This window comes from Homo sapiens, chromosome 11 (assembly GCF_000001405.40).
Source record: "Homo sapiens chromosome 11, GRCh38.p14 Primary Assembly".
Taxonomy (NCBI): domain Eukaryota; kingdom Metazoa; phylum Chordata; class Mammalia; order Primates; family Hominidae; genus Homo; species Homo sapiens.
This window is the reverse complement of record NC_000011.10, coordinates 70043183-70070214: the sequence shown is the minus strand read 5'-3', so window position 1 is coordinate 70070214 and position 27032 is coordinate 70043183. Positions and strand designations below refer to the sequence as shown.

Sequence of the window (27032 nt, the reverse complement as noted above, 5' to 3'; positions counted from 1 at the left end):
TTCATGCTGAAAATGACGTGAGCCACAGAGACCTAGAAAAATGCACAGAATTGAACCAGCTATCCAACAAAGTTGAGCCCCAAGGCATTGACTCTTAAAACATAAGGAAGAGAGAGCATGAGACAGAGTGGCCTCTGTGACAGACAGTGGCTGCCTGTCTTTGCAAAATGCATTAATGGCCAACAGCAAATTAATTAAGTCATTTCAATCCCTTCGCTTATGTAGACAAAATCCAAAGATCCGTGTCATATAGGGTTAGTAAGTACATGCATGCACATCCTTGCATGCATACACATACGACAACTCATCCCCAAAGGGTTAAAAATGGACCCGACATGGGATCTCCTCCCCAATGGCATGCATAATCAGTGGTTCTAGTGTCCATCCAGAAGCTCTTCCTGAATACAGATATTTAAGATTTTTAAGCTCATCACAGCCCAGATCCTCCAAGACACATAGTCATATAGAGCCCAGGGGCCACAGGGCTGCCTGCCCCGCCTCTAACGTAGATTATCGTTTTCCAAAAGCTGTTCCCAAGACTCAGTGTCCCTGCCTCTTAAGCAGGAATGATTACATCTGAAATCAGGCTTTCTGGAAAATCAAGTCAGCATCCCTGCTTCTTAAACATGAACGATTACGTCTGAAATCAGGCTTTCTGAAAAATCAAGTGTCCTCCTCCCCCTTTAAGCTCATCACAGCCCAGATCCTCTGTGTTAAACAGATCTCAAATCTGTTTAGCTTGGGGACCAAACAGAGTGGGGCTGTTTTCCCTTAAACCCATCGGAAGGAGTTTATTCGTCAATTTTCACTCCACTATTTGACTCTCAGCTCAAGCACCTTGAGACGTGCTTGGCCGTCCACTCCTCTGTTCCTGTTTCCTTCCAGTTTGATGGAGAAGTCTTTCCTCCAACCTTAGAGGGACTCTTTCAAAGCCACAGGTTCCTTCTGGATCTCTCTGCAGAACACACTCCCTGGTTCCTTCAAGCCACATCTCAGAAGAGAAAGCGGACCCTTTCCTTGGTCAGGGAGGATGGTGGGGCTTCCAATTCTTTCCCAAAGGAAACCAGGGTAAAAGCAAAGAACCCCCAGCCCATGCTCAGAGATGGCCCCGGGCCCTCTGTGAGTGGATTCATATGGCTTGTTTCACAAGGCAGGGGGACCCTGTGGAGGGGGATATTCTTTCATCAAGGAGGTCCTGAGGCATGAAGCCCAGCCTTTGTAGATGCACCTAAGAAAATACATGGGCCTGGGCCCCCCTGGTCCTTGGAGCTGGATGAGTCTGCAGCGGCTGGTGACATTGGGGACCATCAGCTTGCAGAGAGCATGGTAACAGCCTTCCTTCCCTACTGCTGCCTGTCACAGCCTTGTTTAGCTTGGGGACCAAACAGAGGGGGACAGTTTTCCCTTAGATGACCACTGGGACTGCCCCTACCCGCCTTCCCACCACTTCAGAACAGTTGGAGGAGTGGGCTAGGGAAAGAGTAGGGGGCGTGCCAGCGAGAGAGCCCCTTACCATGGAGCAGACATAGGCTAATGGCCTCCTCCTCCCAGGAGTTAATTGTATTCTCTTGGGCTGGACTTCATGTTTCCTGGGAGCTGTGACCCTCCTTCCCTCCTGGCTCACGTCTCCAAGCCTTCTGCTAAGAAACCACCTTTCCAGGGTCTGCCCTGGCCCCACTCCCAGCCCCTTCCACTGCTTCCCCGCATCTGTTATCTGACAACTTATTATTCTCCCTGCACCAGGAAAGCAGGGACCTTTGTTTTTTGTTTTCTCTGTATTCTCAGGACCCAGCGGAGCCTGGCACACAGTAGGTATGCAAAGTATCCTTTGAAAGGATGAACAAATGAGCTAATGTCCTTTGTCGGTGTCCACAGATTCTAGCACCCGCCTAGTGGAGGACAATGAAGAGTTTACCCACAGGTCAATTTTTACCCGATTCAACCAACCCCTGCACGGACACTTGCCTCTTAACAGGAGGCTGTGGAATCTAAACAAACAGGTTCTCCCTAGGGGCAAGGATGGAGTTGTTGTCTTAACATTTTCCAGCTGGTGGAGCTGCTGGGGAAAGCTGCTGAGGCCACTGCCACCCACCACAAAAGCCCCATTGAGAGCCCCGCCTTCTCCAATACGAGGGCTCCTGTCCAGGGAGGAGGTGGGCTGGGTTTTTCTGGCAGGAGCGTGTCCCCTCCACAGGGGCAATCAGCCTATTTATTAAGGTCCTTCTACGTGTTAAGCTGTGAGCCCAGGGCACAGACCCGCAGGTGTGAGGCTGATAGTCTGCCAGGAAGTCAGAAATCTGACAGCCACAGAAAAATGCTGAAGGACCAGGGGAGGAAAGGTCATGGTCAATTCCGGAAGACTTTGCACAGGGAGTGGCTTCTCAGCTGAATCCTAAACGGTCACTGGTAACTAGGAAGATGAAAAGGAGGGGTCGACTGCCCAAGCCGGGGCAGGGGGTCGGGAGGTCTGGAGGGACGGGAAGGCTGGGAAGGGCCTTGGGGCTGCCTGTGCATCCACCGGGTGCCTGTGAGCATCTTCTCAAGGTTGCCGGGCACTGGGGAAGAAGCAGCCAGCAAAACACGCACAGGCCGGGTGCGGCGGCTCATGCCTGTAATCCCAACTCTTTGGGAGGCTGAGGCAGACGGATCACTTGAGGTCGGGAGTTCAAGACCAGCCTGGCCAACATGGTGAAACCCCATCTCTACTAAAAATACAAAAATTAGCCAGGCATGATGGCAGGCGCCTGTAATCCAAGCTATTCGGGAGACTGAGGCAGGACAATTGCTTAAACCTAGGGGGTGGAGGTTGCAGTGAGCGGAGATTGCGCCACTGCACTCCAGCCTGGGCACCAGAGGGAGACTCCGTCTCAAAAAAAAAAAAAAAAAAAAAACACCCACGATTCCTTGTCCCCTTGGAGCTGCTGTCCAGCGAGGGAGGGGCAGGCAGACCATCGACAAAACAGAAGCAAATGACACGGCAGGTGGGATGCTCAGAGGTGGTTAAGCCCCACGGGGTAGAGGGGTTTGGACATGGCTGGAAGGTGGGAACAGCAGTTTCTCATGGTGGCCAGTACAGACCTTGCTCTGTGGGGGGCCCTTCATGACTGCTTGATATAAGGAAACTTTGGGAAGACTTAGACAACCAGGCTCCATTTTTATACAAATAAAAGGATTTTTGGTCACATGAGTTAGGAAAACAGCAGTGCCGGTCATGATCCCTGGACACCCCGGACAGACTGGCCTCCCCGCTGGGGGGCTGCTTTTTCAAGTTTGTTTTGGGCCCCTTTGCATGGGCCTGGGAGTGGGGACAGGCACTTCCTTGGCTGGACTAGCAGCATCCATGGGCCTGGCTGGCAGCAACCAGGCCGGGGCAGAGTGTCCCTCCTGGGGCTGACTGGTCTATGACTGTGGTCAGGTTGTGCCAGGACAGCCTCCGGGGTGCTTTGCTCCACCGTGGAGTTACGGTGATGGAGCTGGCAGCATCCCTGCCGCTGAAGGGGGTCTAATCTCCACGGGAGACCAGACGTCTCTGCTGTGCCGTCATTCAGGGAGGCCAAAGTCAGGGCTGCCACCCACCCCGCCCCCGCCACCAAATCACCAAGGAGAGGAGGACTCCATGTGCCCTCAACACATTGCAGACATTTGGCAAATGTTTGTGGGGGTGATTGTCCCAGGAGACTGTTGGGCATGGCTGACTCATCTATCAGAATGGAACTTTCTAGAGACTGATGATGGGTGCCAGGCACAGGCCTCCTCCCCCTCTGTCCCTGCAACCCTGCAGGGTGTCTTTGGACAAGTCATGTGGGCTCTGGGACCCCTGTTTCCAACTCAGTCCCAATAAGAAGACAGGCTGTTGAGATGTTAAGAGTGGGCCCCAAACACCAAGCATGGGGTCCCTTGGGAATGCAAGCTCAGGGCCTGGGACCCTTAGTGCCCACGAGGGCAGCTCGGCATCTGACCCCCTGCTTGTAATCACTGTTTATTATCACAGCTGTCACAGACTTGGCCATCTGCTCCAGTGACCTCCAAACCTGTCACTCTTTCATTCACACAATGGACATTCATTCATTCATTCATTCAGCGACACTTCTATGTGCCAGACACAGAACCGGGGCTGGGTCACGGAATAAACAATGCAAACAAGTCCCTGCTCTACTCCCACAGAGCTTACCTTCCAGCGGGGAGGCAGAGCAAAACCAGGAGCCAGAAAGGCAAACCGATGCATACACAGGAATATCAGATGGTGATGACTGCTGTGGAGGACGGAAGCAGGAAGAGGGGACGGCGGGCTAGCGAGTGTGGGGGCAGGCGTGGGGAGACACGACGTGGGTGGCCGTGGAAGGCCCTTCCGGGGAAGTGACATCTGAGCAGAGATCTTCTCCCCAGGAGCCAGCCCTGACAAGACTGGGGAGGAACATTGCAGGCAGCGGCACAGCCAGGTGAAGGCCTTGAGGCTGGGAAGAGTTGTGTGTGCTGGGGACAAGAACTGAGGTCAGCCAGGCTGGGGCACCCTCCAGCTAGGGGGACGACGGGGGACAAGGGCAGAGAGGAGGTTGGGAGGGCCAGGCCAACTAGGGGGACGACGGGGGACAAGGGCAGAGAGGAAGTTGGGAGGGCCAGGCCAACTAGAGGGACGACGGGGGACAAGGGCAGAGAGGAAGTTGGGAAGGCCAGGCCTGCAGGGCCTTCAGGCCAGGAGGGCACTGGGATCCTCTGCTGGGAGGAGGGGCTGGAAAGGTGGCCCCCACAGGGGACCGATGCTGTCTGAACTGTGAGGTCACAATGATCCCGGGGCTGCTCCTGGATTCAGCGAGCTGGGGGTAGTGCCCAGGAAACACATTTTAGTCAAGGCCCCCAGGTATCTGGCACAACCCCGGCAATATGCAAAGCCTCCTCTAATGATGGTTGAATCCAGGAGACCCCAACCGCTGTGATGGAAACCTCGCCACCTCCAGAGGCAGCCGATGACTCCTGGGGCAGCCCCACCCGGCTCAAAGGCAACCTGCTCCACAGAGCCAGCCCCATCCCTAGGCTTGGAGCCAAACAGGATTGCTCCTTCATAAGAAAAAAAAATCAGAGCTACAGAGTCAGCCGTCTTAAAAAGCTCCCTGCATTCTTGCCTTGCCCAGCCAAGCAGCCTCAGGTCCCCCTGCTCCCTGTACCTGGCTGGGCTCAGAGCCACTCTCAACCACATATTTTTTAAGTCCTTTGTCCCAGACTATGAACGGCATGGAAACCAATTGAGGACTGGGGGTGGCAGCTTGTGTGTGTGACTGCTTGAGCTCTGGAGGGTCCTTCTACTGTCAGCGCCTCCCCATCCCCCACCCCCATTCTTCTGTGATGGCCCCGAGTGTCTGTAATGCATCCCTCAACTTTTCATCTGCCAGTGAGACTCACAGAGCAAATAGCCCAAGGAAAGACAAACTATGGATCAAACTCATACTAAAGTATAAATGACTTTCTTCTCCCAGATCATTTTGATAGTGAACAGGACAATCAGCATCAGGCCCACAGACGGCGAGGGATGGAAGGAGTGGAGGAAGAGAACTTCCCACGGCAAGGGGAAAGGGAAGAAGGAAGAGGCTTGGAGGAAGGGGGACAAGGAAAACTTTTATTTCCTTCTCATCTGGCCTGGACTGAGCCAGCTCTTCCTTACCTGCTGCCCCAAACAGGGAGGCCAGCATAGCCAGAGAGGGGGCCAGCGTGTGTCTGATCCCAGGGGCAATATTAAAGTTTGCCTCAGTCCAGGGCGCCCATCTGAAAAATCAGGGCAAAAACAGGACTAAGAACAAAGGAGAAAAAGGCTAAGAGCAAGGGACCACACAGGAACTGAGAAATGATTTCTCAGCTAAGCGTCTGGCCTTTGGAGATGCCTCCCTGCCCATCTGTGTGGCTGGGGTCAGAGAACCCCCACCAGGAGGGTGAGGGGGAGTGAAGAAGGGTGAAGAAGAGACCTGGGGCTCTTCCCGGAGAGTGTGCGTGAGAGCCAGGGGCTGGCTGAGAGGCCACTGGCTTCCAGATGTCCCAGCCTCCATCAGGCCAGACCTACTCCTGCAGGCCAGGGTTGCAACCCCATCAACATGATATAGGGAGCCCGAGGGAAGCAGGACAAACTCTGCCTGATGTTCCTTCCCTCCATCAGCCATCAATCCCCCAGTACAATGAGACGGTCCTCTCAGCTGTGCCCAGCCACAGAAACAGCCTCTGTGCCTTGGGAAAAAATGATGTTGGCGGGCTACACCCCATTCACACTCATGAATCCACTCCAGAAGTCTGAAGACTTTTTCCCCAGGTAAAAAAGAAAGAGGAATCAAAGAAAACAAAGGAAGGGCAGAAAATAAAAGAAAGAAAAGTGAGAACAAGGAAAAGAGAGAGCAAGATTCAGAGGCAGGGAAGACCTGAGTCTGGGAAGAGGGCAGGAATGTACCCTGTGGGGCTGAGGCGTGTCCCTTCATGTCACATCCTGGTGCTGGTGGTGACCTGATTTTGACTCATCCAAAAAATGATCAAAAGAGAGGGAAACAAAGACTAGGTATGACCAGTTCTTATTTCTCCAGAACAAACGGGGTTCTGAAGAACTGGGTTCGCGGGATTAGGAATCCCCATCTTCAGAGGATCACAGTGGTCCTCTTAGGGGCTTTTGGCATTTTTGCTACCATGTGTAATGAGGCACCAAGAACATCATAGGTGAGGTACATGGGAATGCTCGGCTTCCCAGCAAAGGGCAATGTCCTTGTGGTAAGACTTGGAGTCACATTAATTTAATCTTATCTTTAAGAAAGGCAAAAATTCCTCAGCTAAAATGCTCTTGCCGAAGGGTCACTGGTCTCCAGACCACTGTCAGGGGATTGGGATTGTTCTGATAAGATGACAGGTCTGGGCCCGAGGAGCTGAAATTCTCCCTGATCTTGCCTTTCTCTACCCTCATCCCATTCTTTCCTCCCCTCCCTGCTCTTTATTCAACAAACATCAATTGATGCAGTAAAAATCATTATCGGCTGGGCGCGGTGGCTCACGCCTATAATCCCAGCACTTTGGGAGGTGGATCACGAGGTCAGGAGTTTGAAACCAGCCTGGCCAATATGGTGAAACCCCATCTCTACTAAAAAATACAAAAATTAGCTGGGCGTGGTGGCATGTGCCTGTAGTCCCAGCTACTCAAGAGGCTGAGGGAGGAGAATCGCTTGAACCCGGGAGGCAGAGGTTGCAGTGAGCCGAGATTGCACCACTGTACTCCAGCCTGGGTGACAGAGTGAGACTCTGTCTCAAACAACAACAACAACAACAAACAACAACAACAACAAAAAAACAACATAATAGACACATTCTGGTCTATGGCAGTTTCGTGCCCCAGGGAAGTCCAACGTCTTGCCCAATATTTACAGAGTGCTCGTCTAGATAGTCACTGCTTCACCCAAGGAGCTTTCAAATATCCACATTCTAGTACTTCCCGCTCAGAGATTTTCAACAGTCCCTAGTGGGCCCAGAGGACAGGCAGGTTTGGGAACCTGCCCAGTCTCATGGAGGAGAGACATGCACACAGGTGACGGTGATGCCAGAACCCCCTTGCTGAGACAGGCACGGAGCACATGGTAGTCCAGGGGAGGGGGACACTGGGCAAGGCTCCAGAGGGAAAGCAGCTCCTGAACCCTCCCCCAGCTCACCCCAGCATGGTCCGTTCAAAACATGCGGCCCCCATGCACACAAGTTCTCAGTTGTTCTGCTTCATCTGTGTCTACTGGGGGGTGCAGGATCCTCACACAGCAAATGGTTCTTGTCCTGAATGTGTCCCTATATTTGGAGTCCATTGTATTTTCATCATTTAAAAAAATCACCTCGGCCGGGCGTGGTGGCTCACGCCTGTAATCCCAGCACTGCGGGAGGCCGAAGCGGATGGATCACCTGAGGTCAGGAGTTCGAGACCAGCCTGGCCAACATAGCGAAACCCCCATCTCTACTAAAAATACAAAATTAGCCAGGTGTGGTGGTACGCGTCTGTAATTCCAGCTACTTGGGAGGCTGAGGCAGGAGAATCGCTTGAACCTCAGAGGCAGAGGTTGCAGTGAGCCAAGATTGCACCATTGCACTCCAGCCTGGGCAAAAAGAGTGAAACTCCATCTCAAAAAAAAAAAAAAAAAAAAAAAAAAGAAAGAAGGAAAGAGAAAAAAATCACCTCTCTATTTCCAAAGTACCATTGGTTGCATACTCTATTGCTCATCCTCACACAAAGTCTATGAATTACATGGCCTTTGTATTATTAGACCCATTTTGCAGATGAGGAAACTGAGGCCCTGACACTTCCTGTGGTTTACTCAAGATCTTGCAGTTGGAAGCAACAGAGGTAGAGACCCTCCCCTAATTGGTTGACCCTAAGATCAGACTTTTCCTCTGTTGTCGGTCTGAAGCTCTAGCTGTCACAGTCACTCCTTTATGTGTACAACCATCTAAGGCATAAGGTGCTCCAGTAGGCAACTGTTAAGAAGCATCATGGGGAGCTCTGCTTCTGGCCACAAAAGAGTAGCTGCTGTGTCAAGAACATCTATAAAGGCTGGATTAAAAAACAAACAGAGAAACTCAGCTGCTATAGGTAGCTGCTAGAAGGAATTGGAAGAAAACCAAGGCAGACAGGACTTGAGGGCTAAGAGAAGGGAGCTTCAGAGAAATAAGCTCAACATTCTGGAGGAGAGAGAGAGAAAGGGAGGAGGGGAGAGAGAGAGAAAGAGAGAGGGGGAGGGGGAGGTGGGGAGAGAGAGAGAGAGAAGGAGAGAGAAAAGAGGAGGCAAAAATTGGAGTTCTGGCACCCACCAATCCCAACAACTCACCTGGAATGTTCTGCCCAAGGCTTCAGGGACAGCCCACACTAATTTGGCCAGGCCCTTTCTCATGATCTGCTTTCTTTTCGCCCATCTGCCTCCCACCTTATTCAATATTTTGATGATCTTCCTCTTTGCAGCCCCTCTTACCAATCTTCCCAGCAGGACACTATCCTGCTTCTTCAACATCTCTACTCAAAGGGGTACCGAGTATCCCCCTCCAAGGCACAGATTTCTTCCCCTAGCGTTACCTATCTCGGTATAATCCCCCATCAGCATACATGCACCCTTCCTGCACGTTCAGTTAATGTCCCAGACCCCAATCTCCACCACCAAACAACAACTTCTTTAGTTCTTAGGCGTTGTTGGATATTTCCGACTCTGTATCTGGATACCAGGCTTTGCTATCCTAACCAAACCACTTTACAAACTCACAAAGCGTAACTTAACTGATCTCATAGACCCTAAGTTTTTTCCCCATTCCTCCTTTTGCTCTCTCAGAAAGGCCCTGGAGACAACTCCCACACTAGCACTCCCTGACTCGTCCCATCCTTTTTCCTTACACACAGCTGAAATCCAAGGCTGTGCTGCTGGAGCCCTCACACAGGACCCAGGCCCATGACCTGTTGCCTTTCTATCAGAACAAGTTGACCTCACAGTTCTAGGCTGGCTCTTATGTCTGCGTGTGGTGGCAGCTGCCGCTTTAATACTTCTAGAGGCCTTCAAAATCACAGGCTATGCTCCACTTACCCTTTACAGTTCTCACAACCTTCAAGCATTAATATCCTCCTCACACCTTTCACATTTATTGTCTGCCTCTCGACTCCTCCAGCTCTATTCACTATTTGTTGAAACTCCAACAGTAGCTATTACCATGGGCCCAATTTCAGCCCAGTTTCTCACTTAGCACCCAACACAAGTCCTGAACCACACGACTGTGTTTCCCTAATACATATAGCATCTTCTCCCTTTCTTCAGGGTTCTGTTCTTCCAATTCCAAACCCAGACCACACTTGGTTTATCGATGGCAGTTCTTCTAAACCCAATCAATTTTCACCAGCTAAAGCTGGATATGCTGTCGTGTCCCACACCTCCATTATGGAAGCTGCTGCACTTCCTCCCTCCACCACTTCCCAACAAGCCGAACTGATTGCTTTAACTCGTGTGCTCTCTTTCACTGAAGGAATGCACATTAACATTTATACTGACTCCAAATATGCTTTCCACTTCCTCCATAACCATTTTGCCATCTGGGCCGAAAGAGGCTTCCTTACCACACAAGGCTCTTTCATTGTCAATGCCTCCCTAATAAAGGCTCTCCTTAAGACTGCTCTCCTGCCGCCAAGGCTGGAGTCATTCATTATAAAGGACACCAGAAACCTACTGATCTTATTGCAAAGGAAAATGTCTATGCCAAGAGGACAGCAAAAAAAAAAAAAAAAAAAAAAAAAGGCCAACGCCTCCACACCCGCTAATATCCCAGCCCCCACTCCAGAAGGCCAGTATTTTTCTTTCTCCTTTATCAGTCCCACCTACTCTTCTTCTGAAAACCTGCTCTACCAGTCTTTTCCAACTCAGGGCAAGTGGTCCTTCGATCATGGAAAATTCATTCTTCTTGCCTCACAAGCTCAGTCCATTCTTTCTTTCCTTCATGATCACTTCTACGTGGGATACAAGCCTCTGGCTTACCCACCTCCTCCTTCCCTTCATGGAAATCCATCCGTAAGACCATCACCTCTCAATGTTCTGCCTGCCATGCCACTAGCCCCCAAGGCTTTCTCAGGCCTCCTCCTTTTCCTACGCATCAGGCTTGTGGATTTACTCCAACACAAGATTGGCAGATTGACTTTACTCATATGCCCCGTGTCCGTAAATTTGAGTATCTCCTGATTTGGATCAACACCTTCATCGGATGGGTCAAGGCCTTTCCCACTAGCTCCAAAAAGGCTACTGCAGTCATCCCTTCCCTTCTAACAGATATAATTCCCCGACTTGGCCTCCCTACTTCTATTCAATCTGACAATGGTTCGGCTTTTTTTTTTTTTTTTTTTTTGACAGTGTCTCGCTCTGTCGCCCAGGCTAGAGTGCAGTGGTATGATCTCAGCTCACTACAAGCTCCACCTCCCAGGTTCATGCCATTCTCCTGCCTCAGCCTCCTGAGTAGCTGGGACTACAGGCGCCTGCCACCACACCTGGCTAGTTTTTTTTTTGAAACAGAGTCTGGCTCTGTCGCTCAGGTTGGAGTGCAGTGGCACAATCTCGGCTCACTGCAAGCTCTGCCTCCCTGGTTCACACCATTCTCCTGCCTCAGCCTTCTAAGTAGCTGGGACTGCAGGCGCCCGCCACCACGCCCAGCTAATTTTTTGTGTTTTTTTTTTTTTTAGTAGAGACGGGGTTTCACCGTGTTAGCCAGGATGGTCTTGATCTCCTGACCTCGTGATCTGCCCGCCTCAGCCTCCCAAAGTGCTGGGATTACAGGCGTGAGCCACCGCACTCGGCGGACAATAGTCCAGCTTTTATTAGTCAAATCACCCAAGCCGTCTCTCAGGCTCTCGGTATTCAGTGGAACCTTCATACCCCTTACCGTCTTCAATCTTCAGGAAAGGTAGAATGGACTAATGATCTTTTAAAGACACACCTCACCAAGCTCAGCCTCCAACTTAAAGAGGACTGGACAGTACTTTTACTTCTTGCCCTTCTCAGAATTAGCGCCTGTCCTTGAGATGCTACAGGGTACAGCCCTTTTGAACTTTTATATGGATGTGCTTTCTTGCTTGGCCCCAACCTTGTTCCAGACACCAGCCCTCTGGGCAACTATCTTCCAGTCCTCCAGCAGGCTAGACAGAAAATTCACCAGGCTGCTAATCTTCTCACAACCTTCCGTAGCTTCTCTAATAACTTCTCTGCTAGCATCGCAGACATATCACAAACTTTATTAATCCTTCAGGCCCAGGTTGACTCTTTAGCTGCGGTTGTCCTCCAAAACCGCCAAGGCCTTGACTTACTCACTGCTAAAAAAGGAGGACTCTGTATATTTTTAAATGAAGAGTGTTGTTTTTACCTAAATCAATCTGGCCTAGTATATGACAACATAAAAAAACTCAAGGATAGAGCCCAAAAACTTGCCATCCAAGTAAATAATTATGCTGAACCCCCTTGGGCACTCTCTAATTGGATGTCCTGGGTCCTCCCAATTCTTAGCCCTTTAATACCTGTTTTTCTCCTTCTCTTATTTGTACCTTGTGTCTTCTGTTTAGTTTCTCAATTCATACAAAACCACACCCAGGCCATCACCAATCATTCTATACAACAAATGCTCCTTCCAACAACCCCACAATATCACCCCTTACCCCAAAATCTTTCTTCAGTTTAATCTCTCCCACTCTAATTACCCATGCCACCACAATCCTGCTCAAAGCAGCCCTGAGAAACATCGCCCATTATCTCTCCATACCACAGCCAAAATTTTTTGCTGCCCCAACACTTCTCCACTATTTTGTTTTGTTTTTCCACTATTTTGTTTTGTTTTGTTTTGTTTTGTCAGGCCTCTGAGCCCAGGCTAAGCCATCATATCCCCTGTGACCTGCAGGTATACATCTAGATGGCCTGAAGCAACTGACGAACCACAAAAGAAGTGAAAATAGGCAGTTCCTGCCTTAACTGATGACTTTCCACCATTGTGATTTGTTCCTGCCCCGCCCCAACCAATCAATCGACCTTGTGACATTCCTCCCCTGGACAATGAGTCTCATGATCTCCCCTCTGAGCACCTTGTGACCCCTGCACCTGCCTGCAAGAGAAAACCCCCTTTAACTGTAATTTTCCACTGCCTACCCAAATCCTATAAAACTGCCCCACCCCATCTCCCTTTGCTGACTCCTTTTTCGGACTCAGTCTGCCTCGCCTGCACCCAGGTGATTAAAAAGCTTTATTGCTCACACATCACACACACACACACACACACACAAAATTGGAGTTCAGGGTACTCTAAGGAGGTGGAGTCCTAGTAAACTCTCCAGGCTTTCAATCAAGAACTCAGAAAAAGACCTGCTTTCCATAAGTCCTTAAGGCTAATCTCAAATCATCTCCAACCCTGAGAGAAACCAGCTGGTCTTTCTGCATTCTGCCTGCCAAAAAGACAAGAATCCTCTCGGAAGAAGAGAACATCATCTGGAGCCTCCGCATTGTCCACACGTGATATCCAAGATTCAATTAAAAATCACCACACATGCCAGGAAGCAGAGCTAAATGATTAAGAACCACAGAAACAAAACAAAGTAAAACAAGCAAACAAAAACCAAAGGGCAATAGAAACAGACCAACAGCAGATCCAGATATTGGGGTAATTAGACACATCTGTTAATATGATGAATACAGTAAATGGGAAGATGGACAATTTCACTTGAGAATGAGAATGTACAGATAGAATCCATGGGAATTCCAAAGCCAAAAATGAGAATTCAAAAGGTAGGTATAACTGCAGATTAGACAGAATATAAGAGATTAGTTAAACTGAAAGATGGTTAACAGAAAGCATTGAAATTGAAGCACAGGAAAAAAAAAAAAAAAAAGATGTAAAACACAGAAAAGACCATGAGAGACATCCAAGTCTTTTGAACATACCTAACCTATGTGCAGTTGGAACTCTGAAAAAAACAGAAGGGAGAAAATGGGGCAGAAGCAATATTTGAAGTGTCTGACCAAGAATTTTCCAAAACTGATGAGAGACACCAGGCCATGTTTAGTTAAGAATATGATATGCTCTATGAACCCAAAACAGGGTATATTTGCATAATGCCAGTTTTATTTTTTCCTTTTCAATCCATAGCTTTTTATTTATTTTTCTTGCGTTATTTTTTTTCCTAGGACATCTAGCACAATGTTGAAAAGTATGGCCCAGACCCTATCAGAATAATCCCAGCCCATCATAGCAAAATTGGTGAAAACAAAAAAAAGGGAAAAATGACAAAACAGCCAGAGGAAAAAGACATCTATTTTCAAAAGATTAATAATAAGGCAAATGGCTGACTTTTCAACAGAAGCAATAGAAACCAAAGACAATAGAGTGACATATTGAAATTGCTGAAAGAAAATTACTGCCAATCTAGGGTTCTGTATCTAGAGAAAATATCTTTCAAAAATGAAAACAAAATAAATATGTTTTTGGATGAACAGAAACTAAGAGAATTCATTTCCAGCAGACCTGCACTAAAAGAAATAGTAAAAGGAATTTTTAGACAGAGGGAAAATAATCCCATATGAAAGTATGATAAGGTAGAAGAGAATAAAGAACATTGGAAAGGAAAATATATATGTGAGTAAAGCTAAATGAATATTGATTGTTTAAAATAGCAATAACAATGTCTTGTGGGGATTAAATGTAAGTAATATTAATACATGACAAAAATAAACAAAAGGTGGGGTGGGAGGGAAGGTAAATGAAGTTAAAAGCATTTCTAAAAGTTAAGGTTTTCACATTGTCCAAAGGTGGTGTAAATATTGTTTTAAGAAAGACTCTAAAAAGCCAGGGATGCATGTGGCAATTCTAGTGCAACCAATTGAACAATAATAAAGAAATGTATAACTAACGAAATAATAGAAGAGATATGGCAATTAAAAAAAAGAATTGATTAACCGAAAAGTCGGAGGTGAAAAAGTCCAAAAAACAAATGGTACAGCTATAAAACTTATAGTAATATAGTGGTTGTAAACCCAGACATATATCAGTAATTATAATAAATATAAATGGTCTAAATATTCCAATTAAATGACAAAGTTATCAGACTGAATTTTTTAAAACTTCAACTATATACTATATACAGAAGACACACTTTAATAAAAAGAACCAGAATGATTAAAAGTCAAATGATGGAAAAATACTAATATTCCATGCAAACACTTGAAAGAAACTTGCTGCAGCTATAGAAATATCAAATAAATATATTTCAAAATAAGAAATTTTACTAGAGATAAAAAGGGATGCTTTATAGTGGTACATCTATTCAACAGAAAGATATAATAATTTTAAATTATGTATATATCAAAATACATAAACCCAAAACTGACAGAACTAAAATAAGGAATAAACCATTAATTGTGATTGTATATTTTAACTTAAAATTTAACACAACTCTTTCAGGAAATCATAGAATTTCATACACACACACAAAATCAACAAAAATTACTGAATATACATATTTTTTAAGTGCACAAAAAATCATTTACCACAATAGACCATGTTAAGCCATAAAGCCAGCCTCAACACAGTTCAAAGGACTGAAATCTTGTCCTCTGATAACAACAGAAACAAGTAAAGACCAATAACAAAAGGACAACTATAAAAAAACTCAGCGTTTGGAAATTAAGTGATACTCTTCTAACTTATCTATAAAACAAAATTAAATCACAGTGAAAATTTAGAAACAGTTTGAACTGGATTTCATGAAAATATGATATCCCATATCGTATTATGGTATCATCATATGTAGCTAAATCTGTGTTTGAAAATAATTGTACAGCCCTAAATGCATTTGAGCCTAAAAAGAAGGCTGAAAATTAATGATCTAAATTTATGACTCGGGAAGCTAAAAAAGGACTGTATATTAAATCCAAAGTAGAAGGACACAAATAATAAAGAACAGAAACCAACAATTTAGAAATCAAATTTATAATGGAGAAATCAACAAAACTAAAATTGCTTATTTAAAAGACTAATAAAATTGATAAAACTCAATCAAGACTCAGGCCTGCCCCTCACAAGAGTGGAGACCACATGCCACATGTCTAAATAGTTAAGTTATAAATCAAGCTAGCAAACAATTGAATGACATATTTGCTGTTTCTACTTTGACAAATATACCTTCCTACAACAGAGAAGGCTAGGTTCAAATTTAGGAGTCTCAGACTCCTTGGAGATGTGTGCCAGCAGCTGAGGTGGTGGGGAGCTGGTGCCTGCCACCCACTTTCACTACCCTGGCACCGTCCTGCACTGTGAGGAGCCTGTGCCTCCAAGGTCTGACCACAGCCCCACAACATCTGCCCCTTAGCTACCTTCTTGGCCTACACCATGTTCCCATGGCTTGCCTTTGAAAGGACAAACCCAGTGGGGATGACTTGCAGGCTCTGGGAGCAGGCTGGGGTCCATTAACATCTAGGCATGGTCTGAATATCTAGGCATGGTCTCGGAAGGGGTGTGTGGGCCCTGGGTGTGCAGTTTCCTTAGCTCCATGGACTTTACACCTGTGACGAGGGGTGAGGAGGAGGAGGACCAGAGCAGGGCAGGGGCCCCTCTTGCCTGGGTCTGAGGGCCATACTGGAGACAGAGTATGAAATAGAGAAGACAGACACAAATGATAGATAACAAGAAAGAGAAAGCAGACATTACGACAGTTTCTACAGACAGGAAAAAGATAATGTCAGTACATTATTAATAACTATTCAAATACATTGGAAAATCTAGAGAAAACGGACCATTTTCCAGAAAAGCACCACTTCCCAACACTTGCCTAAGAAGAGGTAAACAATCACAATGTCCTATATCTACAAATAAATTTGATTTCTAATTAAAATTGTTTTTGCAAAGAGAACTCTAGGCACATAGAGCTCCATTGGTAAAATTTTCTAGACATTTCAGGAAGAAATAACACCAATCTTCCAGAAACTCTTCCAGGAATAGGGAGAGAGACCATTTCCCAATGAATTTGAACCTGAAAAGGATATTACAAGATGAGACAATATTTCTTATAAATATACATATATCTTATAAATCCTAAACAAAAATACCAGCAAACCAATTCCATTAACAAGGTTAAAATATTATGACCAAACTGAACTTATTTCAGGGATGTAAGTTTGGTTTAATACTCAAAAATTAACAAAATAAAGGAGAAAAAAACCCAAATGATCATCTTGGTAGGTGCTACAAAAAGCATTTGGTAAAATTTAACACCTGTGTATAAGAACTCTTAGCAAATTAAAGAGAAATGACTAAACCTACAACAAATGGCATGTTAAATAGTAAGGTATTGAAAGCTGTACCCTGATGTTGGAATTGAAACACAGATGTCTGCCACGTCCACTCCTATTCAACATTGCACTGGATGTTCTAGGGATGTAATAAGGCAAGAAAAAGAAATAAAAAGTTATGGATTGGAAAGGAAAAAATAAAACTGACTTTATCCCCAAAAGCATGATTTTGAAAGGAGAAAATCCAGATGAACTATTGGAATTAAAAAGTAAATTTGGCAAACCAGATGAACTATTGGAATCAAAAAGTAAATTTGGCAAAGTCACTGAATACAAGATTAACACTCAAAAGTCAATTGTTCTTCTATATACTAAGAACAAACAAAATCCTAAAAACTCATGCCTTTTTAAACAACATTAAAAAAATTAAATGCATAAGAACAAACAAAAAAGATGCATGACTTCAATAAAGAAAAATCACCAAACATTACTAAGAGAGACAAAAGAAAACTGGAATGAATGGCAGGATGGTCCATGTTCATGGATTGGAAGACTCAATATAGTATAACCATTAATTCTCTCCAAACTGGGGCCGGGCGCAGTGGCTTAAGCCCAGGACTTTGGGAGGCCAAGATGGGTGGATCATCTGAGGTCAGAAGTTTGAGACCAGCCTGGCCAACATGGTGAAACCCTGTCTCTACTAAAAATACAAAAAAATTGGCTGGGTGTGGTGGCAGCTGCCTATAATCCCAGCTACTTGGGAAGCTGAGGCAGGAGAATAGCTTGAACCTGGGAGGCAGAGGTTGAAGTGAGCCAAGATCGCGCCATTGCACTCCAGCCTGGGCGAAAAGAAAAAAACCCTGTCTCAAAAAAAAAAAAAAAAAAAAAAAAAAAAAAAAAAAAAAGAAAAGAAAAAGAAATTCTCCCCAAATTGGTCTTGACCTATAGATTCAATATGATCCCAATTAAATGTCAGAAGGCATGTGTGTATGTGTGTGTGTCTGTGTAAGAGAGGTTGACAAGCTGATATGGAAATTTATGTGGAAATGCCAAAGGCCAACAAGACTCAAGACTCCCTCAAGGGAAAAGTCAGAGGACATATATTATCTGATATTCATATCGACCAACAATAGTTATAACAGTGTGGTATTCAAGGATACATGGATCAAAGCAGAGATTCTAGAAACTGACCTGCATATATTCCACAATTTGATTTACTGCAAAGGTGCTGCTGTAGTGCAGTGTGGGAAAGGACTGTGTTTTCAATAAATAGTGTGTAATCAGTAAGTGGTGTGAAATCAATAAGTGGTGTGGAATCAATAAATGGTGTGGAATCAATAAATGGTGTGGAGAGTCATAGGGAGAAAGCTGGACCTTGACCTTATGTCATACACAAAGCCAATTCCAGATGCAAAAAGGCCAACCATAAAGCTTCTAGAATATACCACAGGAGGCTACCTTCATGACCTTAGGATGCACAAACATCTCTTAAACAGAATACAGAAATCAGTAACCATAAAGGAAAAGACTGATAAATCTTCAATAAAATTAGAAACTCTGTTGATCAAAAGACAACATTAAGTAAGTGAAAAGGGAAGACAGAGTGGGAGAAGATATTTGAAATACATATAAATCTCAAAGGACTTGTCTCCAAAATATGTAAGCCACTCTTACAAAGGAATAGAAAAAGACAAATAACCCAATTTAAAAAAATTCTTGCATGAGCACTTCCTCAAAAGAGGCTCTTCACATGATCCATATGCCTATGATTTGGTGACCACCAGCATTAGTCCTCAAAAGACACAGCGTAAAACCACAATGAGATACCACAACACACACACCAGAATGGCTGAAAGCAAAACAAAACCAGACCCCAAAACAAAACCTGACAATGTCAAGTGGCAGGGAAGATGTGGCGTTTCTAGACATCTCACACACCTGCTGACATAAGTTTTCATTGGTACAACCACTTTGGAAAACTTGGCAGCAACTCCTGAAGGGAAACAAGCTTGTCTTACGACCCTGAAATTTCACTGTTACATAGGAGTCCAAACTGGAAACAACCCAAATGCTCATCAACAGGAAAACTGTGGTGTGTTTATACAACAGAATACTCTAGAACAACAAGAATAAAGGACTTCTACATGTAACTATGTTGAAGAATCTAACATATGAGGTTAGAGCAAAAGCTTGCTTCCACCTGAATTCAAAAACAGGCAAGTTGAATCCACAGTGATGGGTGCAGGGTAATGACTGGGGGTGGGTGGGCATCATAAAGGAGGCTTCAGGGGAGCTGGTAATGTTCTTTAGCTTGATCTGGGTGGTAATCATCAGATACATTCATGTTGTAAAAATTCATCAAACTGTAAAATTATGATCTGTACACTTTCATGAATGTCTACTGCAATAAAAACTGTTTGCTCTGAAATAAAAAAGTGCATATGGCAATGGTAGTTTCTTGAAGCACAAATAAGCCCAGGTAAATGCTGACACTGGTGGTCAGCCATGCATCACGTTGCTTTCCATCCTCAAGAGAATTTCCAAGCATGTCCTCTCCCTTAGTTTTCCTATAACCTTGTTAGTATCCCCATTTGACAGATGAGGAAATTGAGGTCAGAGATGTAAGTGAACTTGCCCTAGGTCACAAAGCTAGAGAATAGCAGAGTAGGATTTGAACCCAGGTCCTATCTTCAAATACCACGTCTTCTGCCTTTTAATTTAACTACTCCTGAGGGGAACTAGAACCATAAGCACTAAACATTTGTGAGGTGCCTTCAGGGAGCACTGTTCCTGATGTTATAGAAGTTAGGAGGAAAAGCTTGAGGGCAGCGCAGGAGAGAGGGTTGGGGCCCCCAACAGTGGTGCAGCAGTTACCTTGAGGATGGTGGAGGTGGGACCAAGCTCAACAAGGAAAGGAAAAGCACAGGGAGCGGGGAAGTTGGAAAAGCCTACAGGGAGGAGGAGCCATAGGGCTGGGCTTGGGAGCTGCCTGGGGAACGAGGAAGGGGGCTCCGGGTGAGAAGCAGCAGGAGCAATGGTGTGACCAGGTACTAAGTAAGTGGGCCGTGGCCTGCACCTGTACTGTGGGGCGGAGGACCTGGCCCTCCAATCCTGCAGCCTGTTCCCAGCACTTCTGTGTCAATAGTCACCGAAATTCAAACCTCACCTGTGACAGGTACTAAACAGCTCTGTTACCACAGCTGCCATGGATTTCAGGGTTTGGCTAGTTTTGTCATTATGTATCTTGCACCCCGAATAGGATACAGGGGTTTCCAGGTGAAGGGACCATGTCAGGAGGAAAAGCTCCAGGCAACATTCAAGAGATTTTCCCAGAATGCAGTCTGTCATCTCCAGGGATGGAAGAGTCATTCCTAAAACAGCCCAGGGTGCCATCTCTATTGCTTAAAACACAGACAGCAGCTGGGCGTGATGGCTCACGCCTGTAATCCCAGCTTTGGGAGGCCAAGGCGGGTGGATCACCTGAGGTCAGGAGTTCTAAACCAGCCTGACCAACATGGTGAAACCCTGTCTCTACTAAAAATACAAAAATTAGCCAGGCGTGGTGGTGGGCACCTGAAATCCTAGCTACTCAGGAGGCTGAGGCAGGAGAGTCGCTTGAACCAGGGAGGTGGAGGTTGCAGTGAGCTGAGATTGCGCCACTGTACTCCAGCCTGCGCAACAGAGTGAGACTCCACCTCAAAAAAACAAAAACAAAACAAACAAACAAACAAACAAACAAACAAAAAAACATAGACCGCATGTAGATTCATAGAAGATTAGGTAGACATATTGCTTACTTATTCGTTCATTCACTCACTTCCTGGAATAGTTATCCCCACCATTACCTTTTAGCATTTATCCTCCATCCCCATTGCCCATAACAGCTCCTGGAACACAGGAGGTGCTCAGAGCATGACCTGCTGAATAAATGAACCAACTGCCACTTATTCCATGCCAGCTATGTGGCAGGCATTGTACTTCATGCTGGTTGTTCTGGTCATCTTCAAGACAACTTTTGAGTCAGGGACAATCATATCCCCGTTTGACAGATGAGGAAACCAAGGCATAGAGAGGCAAAGTCACTTGTCCAAGGTCACCTGGCTGTGAACAGCAGAGTCAGGCTTTGAAACCTGATCTGTCAACTGCAAAGCCAGAGCGGCTGGCCATATGACTACAGGGGCTTCTGCTGTTTCCGGTGGGTGACTTGGGAGCATTGAGAAGCGCTGGTGGTGGGAGCTGAGCTTCCAGCTCCCACTTCATGTCGGGTCATGGTTTAGCCTGCTGAGGTGGGCTTTTGGCATCTTTATGCATCTTAGATTTCCACCTAGGAGATGTCACAGCCAGCTCCTCTCATAAGCCACCAGAAAGCAATCAGGGGCCAGCATCATTGGCAATTGCTGTGAAAAACAGTTGTGGTTCAGGAAGAAAACGCATCCTGCTTGTCCGGGAAGCGTATGCCCAGTTGTTCACAGGACACACACACAGATCCAAAGACACCAGGCGTGGCCCTCGACATTCAAGAAGAACCTGTTTCCACTGGCAAACACACTGTCCAGGATCCTGTCTGTCCACTTTCTGCTGAGGCAAGTAGGCCCCCCCAAGGGATATAATTTCTTGAGGAGCAGAAACCAATCACCAATGTGGAGAGGTCTCCGGCACGCACAAAACAGCACCTAGTGGCCGGAAAAGGTAACTGTGCATCAGTAACCAGGGCTGGGGGGTGGTCAGCGGTGGGGGGTGGAGAAGAGTGGGGAGAGGGGGAGAAGGGGAGGAGGGCGGGAAGTGTGGGAAGACAGAGAGAGAGAAACTGAGACAGAGAGACAGACAGAGTAGAAAAGAGAGAGGGAGGTGGGGGAGAGAGAGGAAGAGAGAGAGACAGAGACATCCCAGGACAAAATTTATTTCAAGGTTTGGATTTTCTGAACTTCAATCTTATGTCTAATCGATAAACCACACCACCCCCCCATTGCCTAATCTCAAAAACTTGATTAAGCGCAAGCAGAGATGACTTCCATAACCATTTTTGAAACAAGTTGGGGGAAAAAAAGAATAGAAACTGATCTGTTAAAAAAAAAATCTATGTGAACCTTAAACTTTATTCAACCTTAAAAGAAGCTAAAACATCTGATAAATATCTGATAGAGTTTATAGAAACTAGATAGATTATTAAATAGGAAAATGTTTACTATGTTTCAAAAATTCAAATCCACCAGTTCAACCATTGGGTAAATGTTTATCTAAAAGTTCAGGGGCAAAGTTAAACAGTTGAAATAAAATGGAATTAAGCCTTAATATTTTGTTTTACTTTGAGTGCAAATGGAAGACAAAAATAATATCTCATAAAACGGAAAGTTTCTATTTTCACCAAAATATTTGGAAAAGCCATTTTATTTTAAATTTGGACACCTAGATTCAATATAACTTTTGCAAGGAAGGTTTCAGCAGAATCCAGGAAGCTGGAGCATTTGGAAGCGGGCTTTGATTATGATTTAAAACATTCTCATTCCACAACGATACAATTTATTTCAAAAAGTGTCCTACCAGCCAGAAACTGCCTGTAACTGCAGTACTTGTAAAACCCTAATGTCTCCAAAGAAAATACCATTCTTCCTTTTTGTCATTTGCCCTGTCTCAGGTAAAAAAGGCAGGACCTATGGGGACTGTTCTAATTGATGCTGATGCCTCCATTTTTGAGATATTTCTGGGTCTTTAAAAAATGATTTTATTATGCAATCATCAAAATTATTTTAGAGTGTCATGAGAAGGCTGAATGGCAAAAAGAATCATTATGATTCAAACCATTGTACAGAAAATGTTGTCTCTGTTTTCAGTTAAGAAGAAACTCTTTAGAGATCCAAAATATAATCAGAAGTTATTCTTGATCAAGAGTCTTTCTTTGGTCTTTTGTTCTCTATCCCCATTGAAGGGAAAGAGTTCTTTAGCCAATTTTTCTATCTTCTTCATAGTTTATGAGAGCTTTGGCCTCTCATGTTAGCTCTCTCTCTCATCATTCAAAGATTGTTATATCTCCAATGTGTTTCAATCTATTGTAGCCATAATTCTTATTTCTCCATATAATTAAAATTATTTTTGTAGAATACTTTTGGGTTTATAGAAAAATAAGATGATAGTAGAGAGCTTCTTCATACCCAACACCCAATTTTCTTTATTGTCAACATCTTACATTAGGATGATGTATTTGTTACAATTAATGAACCAATCCTGATATATTATTATTAAAGCCTTATACTCAATCACAATATATTATTATTAAAGTCTCATACTTCATTCAGATTTTCTTAGTTTTTACTTAATGTCCTTTTTCTTTCTTTCTTTTTCTTTTTTTTTTTTTTTTTGAGACAGAGTCTCGCTCTTGTCACCCAGGCTGGAATACAATGGCGTGATCTTGGCTCACTGCAACCTCCATCTTCTGGGCTCAAGTGATTCTCCTGCCTCAGCCTCCCGAGTAGCTGGAATTACAGGTGCCTGAACCAGGCCTGGCTAATTCTTATTTTTTGTATTTTTAGTAGAGACAGGGTTTCACCGTGTTGGCCAGGCTGGTCTTGAACTCCTGACCTCAGGTGATCCTCCCATCTCAGCCTCCCAAAGTGCTGGGATTATGGGTGTGAACCACCACACCCAGCTTAATGTCCTTTTTCTTTCCAGGATCCCATTTTACATCATTATTCTTTTTGATGCCCAAATTGCATCATTTTTGGCCAAGAAGAGCCCCTCCAAGAGCCCCTGTGTCTTTCTGACCTGACTCATTCAGCTTTGAGGAGTTCTTTGCCACCTGGAAGAGCAAAATCCTCCAGGATCATTAAGTCCTTTCTCGCCCTGGGACCTGGAATTGGCCACTTCTCTCAGTGGCCGGGTAGTCTCATGAATCTCAAATGGCCATATTCCTAGAAAAGCTTGAAATAACAAGCTACATTTTATTTATTTCTTCCAAACACTTTACTGCTTTTGAGATACTCTTAGCCTCTTCTTTTGCCCTGGTAGGTTTTGCTAAGCTGTCTCCCAAGTCCACTGTCACTGGAATACGGGGGTCTCAGAGCTGCAGGTATGTTAACAGCCTCCCACCCCCAGGCGTGAAGTCTTAGATTGACAGCAGTCAATGACCAGCTATGGTGTGTGCCATCTTGCCCTGGCATGCAAATGCTTGAATAAATAAAAAGAGTCCAAGAGTCCTGCAAATCATTTTACAGGGAACCATACAAGCTTTTATTAAAAAGATCAGAAAATTGGCACAATGACATAGACTAACACTGGGCATTTTTGCTGAACCCAATGAGCTCAACCTTTGTTTCATAATTATTCCTGCACCTCTGTCATGCATCGAGTCCTTTTTGCTCATCCCTCTGCAGCCCATGTTAACTTGAATCATGGCCAGACTCAAGGACAGAGTCCCAGTGATCTGGGGACTGAGCTCCACCATCCTCTCCCTCACTTGGTTTTTGAACAGTCGTCTAAGTTGACATGAGTTAGATGTCCAGAGCAAGAAAAGACTGGATGGAGGGGTGAGGCACATTCCTTGTTCTCTAAAGTCCAGTTCCCAAATGAACAAAACCCTCACCATCTTACATTCATATCTTTCTCAATTTTTCTAACATGAGTCCATTCCATCTCACACAACACAGGAGTCCTCCTTTTGGTCTGAAGCCAGTATGGTTCTGGCTCTGCTGAGGAGAGCTCATCTTGAAACATCTTTTCACGTGGATATTGTGGGAAGAGAGCCTTGGAAAGTGAAGATCTTCCCTTAAACACCCTTCCCATATGATACGGAAAAAAAAAAATCAGTTGTATGAGTCATGTCCAGCCTCACATCCAGACAAGCTAGACCCTCCATCGATGAACAGATCAAGCATTTGCCCTGGTGGCCTGGCCTGGAATATTTTCTGATTTTGTTGCTGTTGTTCTTTAATGTCACCAATCATAGAATTTTAGGGCCGAGTGGAAGATTATTGATGATATTTTTTCTCTCAAGAAAACGTATTCTTCAGATTTGTTTTCTTTCTATATAAGCAGAGCTTCTTAACATCCTGGCAGTTCCAGAGATTTTACTTCTAGGGCATCATGGCAGTTTCAGAAATTTTGCTTCTAGAGTACTTGTGAGTTGGACTTCTACCAATGAAAAAGGAAATATTGGATTTTTAAAAATGTGTATGTCACGTATGTTTTTGGTAACTCTTTATATTGATATAATCCCAAACATATAGAAAAATTGCCAAGATCGCACAAGGAATGCCTGTTTAGCCTTTACCTGGATTCACTAGCTGTTGATGCTTTGCCACATTTTCTTTATCAGTTTGTTCTACCTTATATTTCTTACTTGCCTTCTATCTTATGTTTCTGTCTTCTCATATCCCCATTTCTAGTTCTATCTTTATATTTGTATATATCTATGCATTTTCCCCTAAAACATGGGAGTGTAATTTAAAAACTACATACTTTACTGAATATTTCTTTATGTTTGAAGACATTGCAATACTGTAATCTAATCTATAGTCTTTATTCAAATCTCATGCACTGTTCCAATAATGTCTTTAACAGCTTGTTTTTCCAGGTCCAGGATTCAATCTAAGATCAAGTATTACAGGGAGTTGTCATGTCTTCTTAGTCTCTGTTAATCCGGAACAGTTTCAGCCTTTATCATCGTAACAGCCTTTGTGATCATAACAGTTTTAAAGAATATATGCCAGCCACTATTTTGACCTTTGTAATTAATAAGAAATTGATGAGGAGATACTTCATGACTATGTAAATATCCTGTTCCTCATCAAACATTTACTATCAGTACTAGCTTTAGAATCTATTGATTGTTTCCTTCTATATTTATAAGTTGGCATTCTATTGTAAATAATAACTTTCCTTCTTCATTATTTATTTCCATTTGGACTAATAGATTCCTATTTTACTCAGTGGGTTACAATCAAGTACTATCATTATTTATTTTGATGAATAATTTGTTCTATACCTGGCCCATGGTAGCACCTTCCAGCTGACTTCTTTGTCCCTTTGAGGGAAATAGCATACAATTGGGTTTTGCTTTTTGATTCAAACTATAATCTCTGCCTTTTAATTGGAGTGTGTAGACCATTTACATTTAACGTATTAATAAACGTGCATATAAATCTACCATTTTGATATATAATATATATACAGCACATGTGTGCTTTTTTTGTATTAAATGGATATTGTTTGTTATTCCATTTTATCTTTACTGTTGGATTCTTAGCACTTTTTGCTTTATTTTACTTTTATTTAGTGGTCGCTTTTGAGTTTACAACATAGTTGTAAACTTATAATGGTATATTTTCAAATATTATACCCCTTCACATATAGTTTAAAAACCTTTCAACAATATACTTCCATTTCTCTCCTTCCTTTGTGCTACTGTCCTATTACATTTTATTTCTATGTATGTCATAGTGCTATAATACAGTTATTATTTTTGGTATAAACAGCTAATTAACTTTTAAGGAGATTAAAATTGAGAAAACGTTTTATATTAACATGCACATTTATTATTATATACTAATTCTGGTACAATCCATCCTTTTGTGTATATCCCAATTTCATCTGTTATCATTTTCCTTTTGCCTGAATAACTTCCTTTATCATTTGTTGTGGTATAGGTCTGCTAGCAATGAATTTTCTCAGATTTTGTTCTTCTGTAAAAGTCTTTATTTCACCTTTATTTTTGAAATATATTTTTGCTGAGTATAGAATTCTAGGTTGGCGTTCTGTTTCTTTCATGCTTTAAAGATATTGTTCCATTGTCTTCTGACTAGCATATACTTTGATGAGAAGCATGCCAAACTCTTCTTCCCCTACATAATATGTCCTTTTTCTCTGACTGCTCTTAATATTTTTTTATTACTTGTTTTCAGCAGTTTGATTATAATGTGCCTTGGTGTGTTTTCTTCATGTTTCTTCTGATTGAAATGTATTAAGCTTTTTAGATTTGTGGGCTTATACTTCTCATTAACAAAGGAAAGTTTTTTATCACTTTTTCTTCAAATACTTTTTTCTGCACCCCACTTCCATTTCTTGGACTTTTAGCACAGGTATGTTGGACTACTTGGTATTGTTCCACAAATCTATGGTGTTCTGTGTATTTTTCCCAGTGTTTTTTCTCTCTGTGTTTTATTTTGAAGGGTTTCTATTGCTATGTCTTCAATTTTGTTGATCCTTTCTTCTGCCGTACCCTATCTGTTGTTACTCCCATTCTGTGTAGTTTTCAACCATAGG

The 27032-nt window shown here is 44.0% G+C and overlaps 1 protein-coding gene and 1 long non-coding RNA gene across 6 annotated transcripts in view; one reads left to right on the top strand and one right to left on the bottom strand.

Moving 5' to 3' along the window:
• ANO1 (anoctamin 1) overlaps positions 1-27032 on the bottom strand; it is a 223534-nt gene that overhangs the window by 119316 nt on the left and 77186 nt on the right. The window lies entirely within an intron of this gene.
• On the top strand, positions 4844-13985 carry LINC02753 (long intergenic non-protein coding RNA 2753). 2 transcript variants are annotated; one of them, NR_120529.1, is made up of 2 exons: positions 4844-6292; positions 13680-13985. It is a non-coding gene; the product is annotated as a long intergenic non-protein coding RNA 2753 (long non-coding RNA). The 2 variants fall into 2 exon arrangements; NR_120530.1 differs by having other exon boundaries at positions 6291-6532.